This window comes from Homo sapiens, chromosome 7 (assembly GCF_000001405.40).
Source record: "Homo sapiens chromosome 7, GRCh38.p14 Primary Assembly".
Lineage (NCBI taxonomy): Eukaryota > Metazoa > Chordata > Mammalia > Primates > Hominidae > Homo > Homo sapiens.
Window position 1 is genome coordinate 72,729,885 of NC_000007.14, and position 14,513 is coordinate 72,744,397.

The window sequence follows — 14,513 nt, forward strand, 5'->3', positions numbered from 1 at the left end:
ACCCTAGCAAAGCCATGCCACTGCCTCCACAAACACCCACAGTCCAGGCCAGTGAGGCACTCACAGGAACCACAGGCACCGATTATGGCCAAAGAAATCACATGTACACTACTATACTACTACACTACTGTACCCGTCTAGAGGACAAGTCAAAGCACCCCATTCAACCAACACTATAAAATACTTCTCCAGGAAAGTCTTTCCCTATGAAAACTACTCCATAAAAATGGAAAGGGTGACTGTTATACCAGATGTGCAGATACCAATGTAGTAAAAAACAAAAACATGAACTAGCAAGAAAACATGACACTCCCAAAGAAACATGATTAGTTCTCCAGTAACAGACCTGAAAGAAAGGAAAATCAAGGCCTGTAACAGAATTTAAAATAATGATCTTAAGGAAACTCAAGAGAGATACAAGAGAATACACATAGACAATTCAATGAAATCAGGAAAAGAATTCATGATCTAAATGAGAAATTCAACAGAGATAGATATCACAAAAAAGAGCCAAACAGAAAACTTGAAGGTGAAGAATTCGATGAATGAAATAAATACAACTGAGAGTTTCAACAACATACTAGATCAAGGAGAACAAACAATGTCTGAATTTGAAGACAGGACTTTTGAAATGACCCAGTCAGACCAAAAAAAAAAGGAAGGAAGAAAAAGAAGAAAAGGAGAAAAGAAAAAGAAAAGGAAAAGAAGAAGGAGGAGGAAGAGGAGAAGAAGAGGAGAAAAAGAAAGAAGAAAAGAAGAAGAAGGGAGAAGGGAGAAGGAAGAAAGGATAGAGGAGAGAGGAGGAGGAAGAGCAGGAGGAGGAGCAGCAGCAGGAGGCGTAGGAAAAAAAGCCTACAGGAATGATGGGACACCATTACATGAACAAATGTTTGCATTTAGGAATTCCAGAAGGAGAACAGGTGGGAAAAGACATGGAAAAGTAAACAGGTTTTAATGAAATAAAAGCTGAAAACTTCCCACATTTTGGGAGAGATATGGACATTCAGATCAAGCAAGCTAAAAATTCCTAAAATGGATTAAATGCCAAAAAAAAAAAAAAAAGCCTCCTTGAGACACATTATAGTCAAACTGTCAAAAGACAATGACAAAGCAAATTCTAAAAACAGCAATTGAAAAGCATCACGTCACATGTAAGGAAACCTCCATAAGAATAACAGCAGATTTCTCAGCAGAAACCTCACAGGCCAGGAGAGAATGGGATGATATATTCTAAGGGCTGGAAAAAAAAAAAAAAAAAAAAAAGACCACCAAGCAAAACTATCCTCTGGAAATGAAGGAGAAATAAAGCCTGTCGCAGACAAGTAAAAATTGAGAGAATTCATCATACTAGACTGGCCTTACCAGAAAAGCTTAAGGAATCCTACATCAGGAAGTGATTATTACCATCATGAAAATATGCAAAAGTATAAACTCACTGGTAGGGCAGATATACAAATGAGATTAAAAAAAGTATTCAAATGTTACCACTATGGAAGACTACCAAACTGCAAAAAAAAAAAAAAAAAAAAAACAAGAGAGTAAGAAAGCAAAAACAATATACAAAACAACATGAGTAAGTTATCATCTACCATGAATAACCTTGAATGTAAATGGATTAAAGTCCCTTGTTAAAAGATATAAACTGGCTGAATGAATTTAAAAAAAAACACCCAACTATTTGTTGCCTACAAGAAACTCACTTCACCTGTAAAGATATACACAGACTGAAAGTGAATGGGATGGAAAAATACATACCACACAAACCAAAACCAAAAGCAGCTGGGTGTGGTGGCTCACACCTGTAATCCCAGCACTTTGGGAGGCTGAGGCAGGGGGATCACGAGGTCAGGAGTTCGAGACCAGCCTGGCCAACACGGTGAAACCACGTCTCTACTAAAAATACAAAAATTAGCCAGGCGTGGTGGTGGGCACCTGTAATCCCAGCTACTTAGGAGGATGAGGCAGGAGAATTGCTTGAACCTGAGGCGGAAGTTGCAGTGAACCGAGATTGTGCCACTGCACTCCAGCCTGGGCAACAGAGCAGGACTCCATCTCAAATAAAAAAATTAAAAAATTTAAAAAAAGCAAGCAAGAGTAGCTATCCTTGTATAAGATAAAATAGACTTTAAGTCAGAAACTGTAAAACAACACCAAGGAAAAGGTCATTGTGTAACGATAAAGGAATCACTGCAGCAAGATCTAACAACTGTAAATATTTATGTACCTAACACTGGAGCACTGAGATATAAAGCAAACATTATGAGATCTAATGGGAAAGATAGACTCTACTACCATAATAGTCGGGGGCATCAACATCACACTCTCTCAGAATTGGACAGATCACCTAGACAGAAAATCAGTAAAGAAACACCAGATTTAAACCATAGGACAAACTGACCTAACAGACACTGACAAAATATTTCATACTACACCTGCAGAATACACAATCTTCTTATCCATACATAAAATATTCTCCAGGGCAGACCATATTTTAGTCTCAAAAAATGTTAAAAAATCAAAATCCTATCAAGTATGTTTTTGGACAATGGAATAAAACAAGAAATCAGTCATAAAAGGAACTTTGGAACCTATACAAAGTAATGGAAACCAAATAGCACACTCTTGAACAGCCAATGAGTCAATGAAGAAAGCAAGAAGAAAATTTAAATATGTACTGAAACAAATGAAAGTAGAAGCAAATGTCAAAACTTAAGGGACAGAGCAAAAGCAGTACTAACAGGGAAGTTTATAATAATAAACAACTATATCAAAAATGTAGAATGATTTCAAATATCAATCTAACAATGCACTTCAGGGAACTAGAAAAGCAAAAACAAACCAAACCCAAAATTACTAGAACAGAAAAAAATAATAATCAGAGCAAAAATAAATGAAGTTGAGACTAAAAGAACACAAAAATCAACAAAACAGAAAGTTCATTTTTTAAAAAGATAAACATCGACAAACCATTAAACTAACCAAGAAAAAAAAAGATCCAAATAAATATATCAGAAACAAAAAAAGAGACATTACTACTGATACCACAGAAATACAAAGAATCATTAAAGACTGTTATAACCAACTGTACACCAACAAATTGGAAAACCTAGAGGAAACGTAGAAATTCCTGTACACACACAACCTACCAAGAATAAACCAGGAAGAAAGAGAAAACCTGAACAGATCATTAACAAGATTAAATCAATTATAAAGTCTTCCAACAAAGAAAAGTACACGGCCAGATGGCTTCCCTGGTAAATTCCACCAAACCTAAAACACACACACACACACACACACACACACACACACACACACCTCTCACACTAATACTTTTCAAACTATTTCAAAAAATTAAGGGGGAAGAAATTCTTAGAAACTCAGTATTATACGAGGCCAGTATTACCCTGAAAACAAAACAGGACAAAAACACAACAAAAAAGAAAAGGAAAATAGCATGCCAATATCCCCGATGAACAAAGGTATAAAAATCCTTGGCCGGGCGCGGTGGCTCACGCCTGTAATCCCAGCACTTTCGGAGGCCAAGGCGGGCGGATCATGAATTCAGGAGATCAAGACCATCCTGGCTAATACGGTGAAACCCTGTCTCTACTAAAAAAATACAAAAAATTAGCCGGGCATGGTGGCAGGCACCTGTAATCCCAGCTACTCAGAAGGCTGAGGCAGGGGAATCGCTTGAACCCAGGAGGTGGAGGTTGCAGTGAACTGAGATTGTGCCATTGCACTCCAGCCTGGGGGACAGAGCGAGACTCCGTCTCAAAGAAATAAGAAAGAAAAAAAAGAAAATTGCATATCACTGAGGAAAGAAATTGAAGAGAGCACACACACAAAAATGGAAAGACATCCCATGTCCATGGGTTGGAAGAATAAATATAGTTAAAGTTATCATACCACCCAAAGCAATTTACAGATTTGATGCAATCCCTATCAAACCACCAAAGACATTTTTCACAGAAATAGAAAACAATTCTAAAAATCACATGGAACCACTAAAATCCCCAAATAGCCAAAGAAATCCTATGCAGAATGAACACAGCTCAAGGCATCACAGTACATGACTTCAAAATATACTATAGCCAGATGCGGTGGCTCACACCTGTAATCCCAGCACTTTGGGAGGCCGAGGCAGGCAGATCACAAAGTCAGGAGTTCAAGACCAGCCTGGCCAACATAGTGAAACCCCATCTCTAATAAAAATACAAAAAATTGGCCAGGAGTGGTGGCAGGCACCTGTAATCCCTGCTACTTGGGAGGCTGAGGCAGGAGAATCCCTTGAACCAGGCAGGTGGAGGTTGCAGTGAGCTGAGATCACATCATTGCGCTCCAGCGCAGGCAACAGTTTAAAACTCCATCTCAAAAAAAAAAAACACAACAAAAAAACTATAAACCTATTGAAACCAAAGCAGCATGGTATTGATATAAGAACAGACACATCGACTCACAGAACAAAATAGAGAACCCAGAAATAAATCCAAATATTTACAGGAAACCAATTTTCGACAAAGGTGCCAAGGTCATGCAGTGGGGAAAGACAATATACAAAAATCAACTCAAAACAGATTAACAACATACACGTAAAACCTGAAACTGTGAAATTACCTACTGTGAAAACACAGAGGAAACACTTTAGGACATTGGTCTGGGCAATGATTTTATGAATAAAACTTCAAAATTACAGGCAACAAAAGTAAAAACAAATAAATAGGATGATATCAAACTAAAAAGCTGCTGCACTGCAAAGGAAACAATCAACAGGGTGAAGAGACAACCTGCAGAATGACAGAAGATATTTCCAAACCATTCATCAAACAAGGGATTAATATCCAGAATATACAAAAAATTCAAACAACCCAACAGCAAAAAAACCCACAAATAATCTGATTTTTAAAAGGTCGAATGATGTAAATAGACATTTCTCAAAAGAACATATACAAGTAGCAAACAAATACATTTTTAAATGCTCAACATCACTAATCATCAGAGAAATGCAAATCAAAACCGCAATGAAATTCCATCTCACCCAAGTTAAAATGACTATTATCAAATAATAACAAATGCTGACAAGGATGTGGAGAAAGGGAACTCTTATACACTGTTGCTGGCAATGTAAACTACCACAGTCATTAGGGAAAACAATATGGAGATTCCTCAAAAAACTAAAGCTAGAACTACCATATGATCCAGCAACCCCACTACTGAATATACATCCAAAGGAAAGGAAATCAGTATGTTGAAGAGACAGCTGCATTCTCATGCTTATTGCAGCACTATTCACAATCGCCAAGATACAGAACCAACCTAAGTGTCCGTCAGCAGATAAATGGATAAAGGAAATGTGATATATATTCACAATGGAATATTATTTAGCCCTATAAAAAAGAATGAGGCTGGGCATAGTGGGTCACGCCTGTAATCCCAGCACTTTGGGAGGCTGAGGCCAGTGGATCACTTGAGGTCAGGAGTTTGAAGCCAGCCTGGCCAACTTGGTGAAATCCCGTCTCTACTAAAAATATAAAAAATTAAGCCAGGCGTGGTGGCACGAGCCTGTAATCCCACTTATTCAGGAGGCTGAGGCAAGAGAATCACTTGAACCTGGGAGGTGGAGGTTGCAGTGGGCCAAGATTGTGTCACTGCACTCCAGCCTGGGCAACAGCAAGACTCTGCCTTAAAAAAAAAAAAAAAAAAGGCCGAGTGCAGTGGCTCAAGCCTGTAATCCCAGGACTTTGGAAGGCCAAGGGAGGCAGATCACCTGAGGTCAGGAGTTCAAGATCAGTCTGGCCAACTTGGCAAAACTCCACCTCTACTAAAAATACAAAAATTATCCGGGCTTGGTGGCGTGTGCCTGTAATCCCAGCTACTTGGGAGGCTGAGGGACAAGAATCGCTTGAACCTGGGAGGCAGAGATTGCAGTGAGCTGAGATCAGGCCACTGCACTCCAGCCTGGGCAAAAGAGCGAGACTGTCTAAAAAAAAAAAAAAAATTCACATACCGTAACATTATCCTATTTAAGGTTTATAAATCATTGGCTTTTGCTATACTCACAGAGTTGCACATTGTTAGAAATGCTTGCTCCCCAGTGCTACAAAGAAATAGCAACTGAACAAAAATTTAATTTTCTCAGCAAGGCCATTTTTTTACTTTCTGCAGAAAGGGTACACTCGCCAGCACTTCTGCCACGAGAATACACTGAACAAAGGAGACAGGGACATTTATAACCTGACACATTCACCCTACTGCTGTTACCAGTTTCCATTGGCTGGAACAGGACCTCACATTCTGTATTTGTCCCAATTGGCTAGCAACTTAGAACTTTTCAAAAGAGGCAAAGGCAGAGAACAAAGGAAGGAGGAAGTAACTTGTGGAATGCTCAGAAAGGTAAAAACACCTCCAAAAAAGGAAGAGGAATAGGCTACGACCTAATGCTTGCTGGGACCAGTATAAGCATGCCAGGGCAAATATTTAGGCCAAATTGTGGGAGCTAAGAATACAAAGTACATTGATTTCTTTATTACGGCTAGCAGATATCTAAGAATGTTAGCACAGGTCTTTGAATAAATTTTGCTTCTAAGAGAAGTTACTATTTATTCTTAATTAGATGGGGAGGAAAATCTCTTTGAAGAGGAGCCTCTACTTCACTTTTTACATGCATCCATGACCAAAATCCATTTTAAACGTTTTGTCATTCCCAAAAAGAAACGCTATCCCCTCGGGTATTGCTCCTCAACTCCCATATTCCCTCCGGCCCTAGGCAACCACTAATCTACTTTCTGTCTCTACAGATTTGTCTATTCTAGGCAATGCACAGAAATGCAATCTTACTATAGATGCAGCCTGTTGTGATCGGCTTCTTTCACTTAGTATAATATTTTCAACATTAATCCATGCTGTAGCATGTATCAGTACTTAATTTCTTTTTATTGACAGATGACATTCCTTGGAATGGATACACCACATGTTGTTTCTCTGTTCATCAGTTAATGGACATCTGGAGTATATCTACTTTTTGGATATTATGAATATCTTTTTGAGGCACAAGAATCGCTTGAACCCAGGAGACAGAGGTTACAGTGAGCCAAGATCACACCACTGCGCTCCAGCCTGGGTGACAGAGCGAGACTCCGTCTCAAAAGAATAAAAAAAACCCCACTGTCATATACAGAACCTCACTCAAGCAATTAAGCCTTACAGCAACCCTGTAAGGAAGGTATGTTGTTTTATTCTACAGCTGAGAAACTGAGGCTCAGAGGCTATTTTAAGAATCCACTGCAAGAAAAGGACAATAACAAAAGCATTTATGTAACATTTAAATCAATTTTCAATGAACCTTTTCTGACATTCTTGTTATATATTTAATGGAAACAGATGGCAAATTCTAATTTTAAAAGCTCACATATTAGTCCTTCTTTACCAGAAGCCATGGTAAATGAAATATCTCCATTTAATTAGACCTTTCTAAAAATCTCATTAAGGAATGTGTTAATCATACTGTTTGCTTTCCAAAACTCTGGGTAAATGTACTGCTCAAGAAACTGAAAGACTGCATTGTTGGCTATGAACAGGAAATTAAGATTGAGGAGCACTACCCATTAGATCCTGTTATTTCTTTTGAATTTTGACCTGTAAAAAAACCAACTACTTATGCCAACAATCTTAAGAAGAGATTAGGATTTATACTTAGTGTAAACTGTGAAACAAGAAAAACTAGAACACAAAATACTTGATTATTTGTCCTACAACCTCAGTATGATGTGATCCCAATACTTCAGTCTACATAATCATATGGCTAACATACTTTTGTCTTGCAAGCGCTCACCTTATAATATCTCAAACTCTGTAAGCACATACTCTATTCCTAAAAAGTGGTTTTTTGGTCACATTTTACTTCTTTTTTTTTTTTTTTGAGATGGAGTAGCCCAGGTTGGAGTGCAGTGGCGTGATCTCGGCTCACTGCAAGCTCCACCTCCTGGGTTCACACCATTCTCCTGCCTCAGCCTCCTGAGTAGCTGGGACTACAGGTGCCCGCCACCAAGCCCGGCTAATTTTTTCTATTTTTAGTGGAGACGGAGTTTCACCGTGTTAGCCAGGATGGTCTCGATCTCCTGACCTTGTGATCTGCCCGCCTCAGCCTCCCAAAGTGCTGGGATTACAGGCGTGAGCCACCGCGCCTGGCCATATTTCTTTCTTTCTTTTTTTTTTTTTGAGGAGTCTCGCACAGTCACCCAGCCTGGAGTGCAGTGGCGTGATCTCAGCTCACTGCAACCTCCACCTCCTGGGTTCAAGCAGTTCTTCTGCCTCAGCCTCCCAAGTAGCTGGGATTACAGGCGCCTGCCACTAAGCCCAGCTAATTTTTTGTATTTTTTTAAGTAGAGACGGGGTTTCCCTCTGTTGGCCAGGCTGGTCTTGAACTCCTGACCTCGTGATCCGCCTGCCTCAGCCTCCCAAAGTGCTGGGATTACAGGCATGAGCCACTGCGCCCGGCCTGGTCACATTCTGTTTCAATGCTGCCATGTTTCAGCAATACCCTTCACTGAAATAGTGACTGTAGACCATGGCACACAGGTTATTTCAACCTCAGCACAATTGCCATTTTGGACTAGATAATCCTTTGTTGCGGAGCACTGTCCTATGCATTAGGGAATGCTTAGCAACATCCCCAGCCTCTACCCACCAGATACCAGCAGCACTCTCCTTGGTTCTAACAATAAAAAATATCTCGAGACATTGTCAAATGTTCCAAATCTCTGTGTGGGACAAGAAATAGCAATTTTGCCCCCAGCTGAGAACCACCGATTTAACAGGATGACCTAAGAGATACTTTTAGTGTTTTGTTTTTTGTTTGTTTTTACCACATCTCTAGATAACTAAAAGAGGAAATACATGTAAAAGAATATGGTATAGTAGCCCACGCCTATAATCTCAGCACTTTGGGAGGCTAAGAGGGGAGGATTGCTTCAGGCCAAGAGTTCGAGACCAGCTTGAGAAACATAGCGAGACCCTGTCTCTATCAAAAAAAAAAAAAAATAATAATAATAAACTGGATAGGCATTGTGGCACAAGCCTGTAGCTGGAGTTACTCAAGTGGCTGAGGCAGGAGGATCACGTGAGCCCATGGGTTCAAGGTACCAGTGAGCTATGATTGCACCACTGTACTCTAGCCTAGGTGACAGGGCTTAATATGGGATGATAGTATTGTGGCTATATTATTTTTTAACAGATCTTATTATTTACATTTTACATGATCTGTCAATTGAAGTATGTACAGATAAAACAATATGATGGCAAGGATTTGTATTAAAATAGGTAAATGGAATATGATTATCCATATGATGATAAACGTTCACCGAGGTTTAATATACTATTCTCTCTCTGCTTACGTTAAAAAAACTCTATAATAAGAATTTTTTTAAAGTGGGTAGAGAGGGGTCAGGCGCAGTGGCTCACTCCTGTAATCTCAGCACTTTGGGAGGCCAAGGAGGGCAGATCACGAGGTGAGGAGTTCAAGACCAGCCTGGCCAACATGGTGAAACCCTGTCTCTGGTAAAAGATACAAAAAATTAGCAGGGCATGGTGGCACGCACCTGTAATCCCAGCTATTCAGGAGGCTGAGGCAGGAGAATGGCGTGAACCCGGGAGGCGGAGGTTGCAGTGAGCCAAGATCATGCCATTGCACTCCAGCCTGGGTGACAGAGTGAGACTCCGTCTCCAAAAAAAAAAAAAAAAGTGGGTAGAGGGGTTAACAAAGGTCTCAGTAGGTACATGAACAACTTGCTGTTAAGAAAAAAATTATAGTTGAGGTAAACAATACACAGCTGAATGCCTGGGAAGAAGAGCTAGGCACCAAGGCTAATGTGGTGAACTGGAGCACTGAAAAGCACCTGCATGCGCCTGGGATTTAGAAAGGCACACTGGACAGGAGACATGCTAAGAAGCGGCCTAGGAAGAGTCTAAACTTTCACCTCTGCCCGATCTTTAGGCTCAGCACAAGCAGGAAGCAAAGGCTAAGGCAGAGTTGTAAATGGCCTGGCTAAACATTAAAAGAGTGTTCCAGGCCGGGTATGGTGGCTCAAGTCTGTAATCCCGGCACTTTGGAAGGCCAAGGCGGGTGGATCACTTGAGGCCAGGAGTTCGAGACCAGTCTGGCTAACACCGTGAAACCCCATCTCTACTAAAAACACAAAAAATTAGCCGGGTGTGGTGGCGGGCGCCTGCAATCCCAGCTACTCAGGAGGCTGAGGCAGGAGAATGGCATGAACCTGGGAGGTGGAGCTTGCAGTGAGCCGAGATTGCACCACTGCACTCCAGCCTGGGCGACAGAGTGAGACTCTGTCTCAAAAAAAAGAAAAAAAAATTAGCCAGGTGTAGTAGCACACACCTGTAATCCTAGCTACTCAGGAGGCTGAGGCATGAGAATTGCTTGAACCCAGGAAGTGGAGGTTGCAGTGGGCCAAGATTCCACCACTGTACTACAGCCTGGGTGACAGAGCAAGACCCTGTCTCAAAAGGAAAAAAAAAAAAGCGAAAGAAATGTTCCAAGACAGAGTCAATCTGCAAAGACTGGGAGAAGCTTTTTTTTTTTTTTTTTTCTCCAATTTTTTTCCTTTGGCTCCATGAGCTCAAGGAAATCTCTGTCAAATCATTAGCTGACCCCTGAGCTTAAGACACAGACTTCAGAGGTAATATAAAACAAAGAATAAAATCTTTACAAGCATAGTTTAGAAAACTCACTAAACAAACAAAACCCAGAGCAAGCAATAAAAAACAAACCCTGAAGAGTGAGAAAAATCTGACTTCCAGAGTTAACACATTCTAATAATCAAAATATGCAGTTTTCTTTTTTTTTTTTTTTGAGACGGAGTCTTGCTGTGTTGCCCAGGCTGGAGTGCAGTGGCGTGATCTCGGCTCACTGCAAGCTCCACCTCCCGAGCTCACGCCATTCTCCTGCCTCAGCCTCCCAAGTAGCTGGGACTACAGGTGCCCACCACCACGCCTGGCTAATTTTTTGTATTTTTAGTAGAGACAGGGTTTCACTGTGTTAGCCAGGATGGTCTCAATCTCCTGATCTCGTGAGCTGCCCACCTCGGCCTCCCAAAGTGCTGGAATTACAGGCATGAACCACCATGCCAGGCCAAAATATGCAGTTTTCAACAAAACATTTCTTTGCATACAAACCATGCAAAGAAACAAGTGTGGCCCATTCCCAGCATGTATTAGCAAAAACTCTCCCTGAGGAAGCATAGACATTAGACCAACTAAAAAAATACTTTAAGCCAACTATCTTAAACATGCTCAAAGAGCTAATGGAAACCATGTACAAAGAGATGAAGGAAACCAAGAAAACAATGTCTAAACAAATCCAGAATATCAATGAAGAGATACAAATGATAAGAAGGAACCAAACAGAAGATGTGAAAGAATAATAACTGAAATGAAGACTTCACTAGAGGGTTTCAACAGAAGATTTGAACAGGCAAAAGAAAAACCTCAGTGAAGTGGAAGACAAATCAATTTGGAATTATCTTGCCTAAGTAGAAAAAAAAAGTGTGAAGAAAATTGAACAGAGTCTTAGCACACCATCAGATTGAAAAGAGCTGGGGGACACCATCAAGCATACCAACATATGCATAATAAAAGTTCCAGAAGGAGATAAGAAGGAACAGAAAGAACATGTGAAGAAATAATTATTGAAAAATTCCCAAATTTGGTAGAAGACTTGAATTCACAGAACTAAGAAGCTCAACAAACTCTAAGTAGTACAAACACAAAGAGATCCATACCAAGATATGTTATAATCAAACTGCTGGAAGAATAAGACAAAGAAAGTAACTTGAAAGAAGCGAGAGAGAAGGCACTCATCACGTATAAGGGATCCTTAGTAAAATTAAAAGCCAATTTCTCAGCAGAAACCATGGAGGCCAGAAGGCAGTGGGAGAGTACATTTAAAATGTTACAAGAAAAAAACTGTCAGTCTAGATTTCTATATCTAGCAAAACAATTCTTCAAAACTGAAGGAGACATTAAGACACTGACAAATAAAGGCTGAGGGAGTTCACTGCTAACAGACCTGCCCTACGATAAATGCTAAAGGGAGTCCTTCAGACAAAAATGAAAGGACACTAAACAGACCCATATCATACAAATATACAAAGAACAACATAAAGGTAAAATACATAGGTAAATACAAAAGTCACCACTGTTGTATTTTTGGATTTTTATTTGTTTGTGTTTGTTTTTCATTTGTTTGTTTTGAGACAGGGTCTTGCTCTGCCACCCAGGCTGGAGTGCAGTGGCACAATCAAGGCTCATTGCAACCTCCACCTCCCAGGCTTATGATCACCCCCACCTCAGCCTTCTGGAGTAGCTGGGACCTCAGACATGCACCACCATGCCCAGCTAATTTTTGCATGTTTCGTAGAGACAAGGTTTCATCATGTTACCCAGACAGATCTTGAACCCCTGGGCTCAAGTGCTCCACCCACCCTGGCGTCCCAAGGTGCTAGTGTTACAGGCATAAGCCACTGCACCCGGCCAGTATTTTTGGATTGTAACTCCTCTATTTTTTCTCTTGATGACGTAAAAGACAAATGTATAAAACAGCAATTATAAATCTATGTTAATGGGCATACAGTATATAAAGTTGTAATTTGTGACAATGACATAAAGGAGGCGGGACAGAGCTGTTTATGGGCAAAGTTTTTGACTATTATTGAGTCAAATAATATCAATTCAAAATAGTGTTACTAATTCAAAATAGTCAATCCCATTAATAACTGATTTCATATTTGTAACATTGTCTACTTGCTAAAATTTATTTGTAATCCCCAATAATCATAACAAAATAACCCCCAAATCAAGTTATTATAAGCATTTATAATAATCAAAACAATATTTTTAATAACTGGAAAAAAAAAGAATTATAACTCTTGTGCCAATATGGAGATAAATTAAGAGATGACATTGACTAGAAAGTATTAAATCATTTTGGTTGCTAAAGGGAGAAATAATGAGAATCTGAAACATAATCAATAGAATTAGATAAGCAAATGGATATAGTGGGTTTGAGAAAAAGAGAAGAAATGTCTAGTCTGGGCCATTAGATGGCTAATAGTGCCATTACCCAAAACAGAACAAGTTAACACAAGCCTAATAAATTCCATGATAAATACATTAAGCTTGAAATGACTGTGGATGATCCAAGAGAAGATATGCAACAGGAAATTGGAAATGGAGAAGGAAAATTCAGAAAAGAGACTGAGACTGGAGATAAAGTATTTAAAGGTGTCAAACTACAGGTAAATGAAGCCACGGAAATGGTTTACTTCTCCTACCATCATAACACAGAGTCATAAAAGACGGCTGAAGGACAGAAGCAGAAAGAAGAGCTAACAGGGGAAACTGAAAAGAAACTGACAAAGGTGGGTGGGATACTAGAAGAGACTGGTATCTCTGAATCCAACAGAAGGAGTGGCGTCCCCCTTCTTTCCTAGCATGCCTCACTGGAGTTCAACTAAGATAAGAATTAAGTAGCTTCTATTAGATCTGATAGTAAGGAAGTCATTAGTGACCACAACAAAATGAGCTGCTATGAAGACATGAGTTGGCATAGAGAACTAGGAGTTGAAGAGTAAGCAGTTGTAAGTGAAGGAAAGAAATGGGTTAGTAGGCTGGGTGCAGTGGCTCACACCTGTAATCCCAGCACTTTGGGAGGCCGAGGTGGGCGGATCACCTGAGGTCAGGAGTTCAAAACCGGCCTGGCCAACATGGTGAAACCCCATCTCTACTAAAAATACAAAAATTAGCTGGGCGTGGTGATGCACACCTGTAGTCCCAGCTACTTGGGAGGCTGAGGCAGGAGAATCACTTGAACCTGGGAGGCAGAGGTTGCAGTGAGCCGAGATGACGCCACTGCCCTCCACCCTGGGCAACAAGAGCGAAACTCCATCTCAAAAAAAAAAAAAAAGAAAGAAAAGAAAAAGAAATGGGTTAGTAGCAAGCACCACCACCCCCAAAAAGAGAGAGGCAGAATTGTGCAATTTAGCCATTTTCTTTCACTTAAACTATTCCCAATTGCTGTAAAGACTCAATTCTGCATACAATGGGCTGTAACCAGCTGAAACACAACATTCACTGCTTGTATTTCCAGCAAGATAAACTGAAAAGCCTCCAATAACAAGACACCCAAGCTGATACCTTAGCATAAAACTAGTCGTAGATAGAAAAAAAAGAAAACAATGTAGGAGAGCAAGATAAACAGAAAGCACAAAAGGATAGAATAAAAATAAATTTTTATCACTAATGTATCACTATTTATCGATAATCACTATAAATAAGACAAACTAAACTCACCAGTTAAAAAAGACAAACTGTCCAAATGGATGTTTACAAATCCAGCAATTCCTCACAGTGTTTGTCCAAGAGAAACAAAAATATTTGTCTACAAAATTTTTATACACTAACATTCACAGTGAAAAAGATTAATCACCAAGACAGCAGAGCTC

General features: G+C 39.9%; 1 protein-coding gene across 4 annotated transcripts in view; it reads right to left on the reverse strand.

The window, feature by feature from the left end:
- The window catches only part of TYW1B (tRNA-yW synthesizing protein 1 homolog B), a 253,688-nt gene that overhangs the window by 155,372 nt on the left and 83,803 nt on the right, over nucleotides 1-14,513 (reverse strand). Inside the window, exon 1 of one of the 4 annotated variants that reach the window (NM_001412182.1) lies at nucleotides 6,061-6,203. The exons of the other annotated variants lie outside the window; for them this stretch is intronic. The gene's annotated coding sequence lies outside the window, so the exon portion shown is untranslated. Of the gene's footprint in view, nucleotides 1-6,060; nucleotides 6,204-14,513 lie in introns of those variants that run through there. 4 annotated transcript variants of the gene reach the window in all.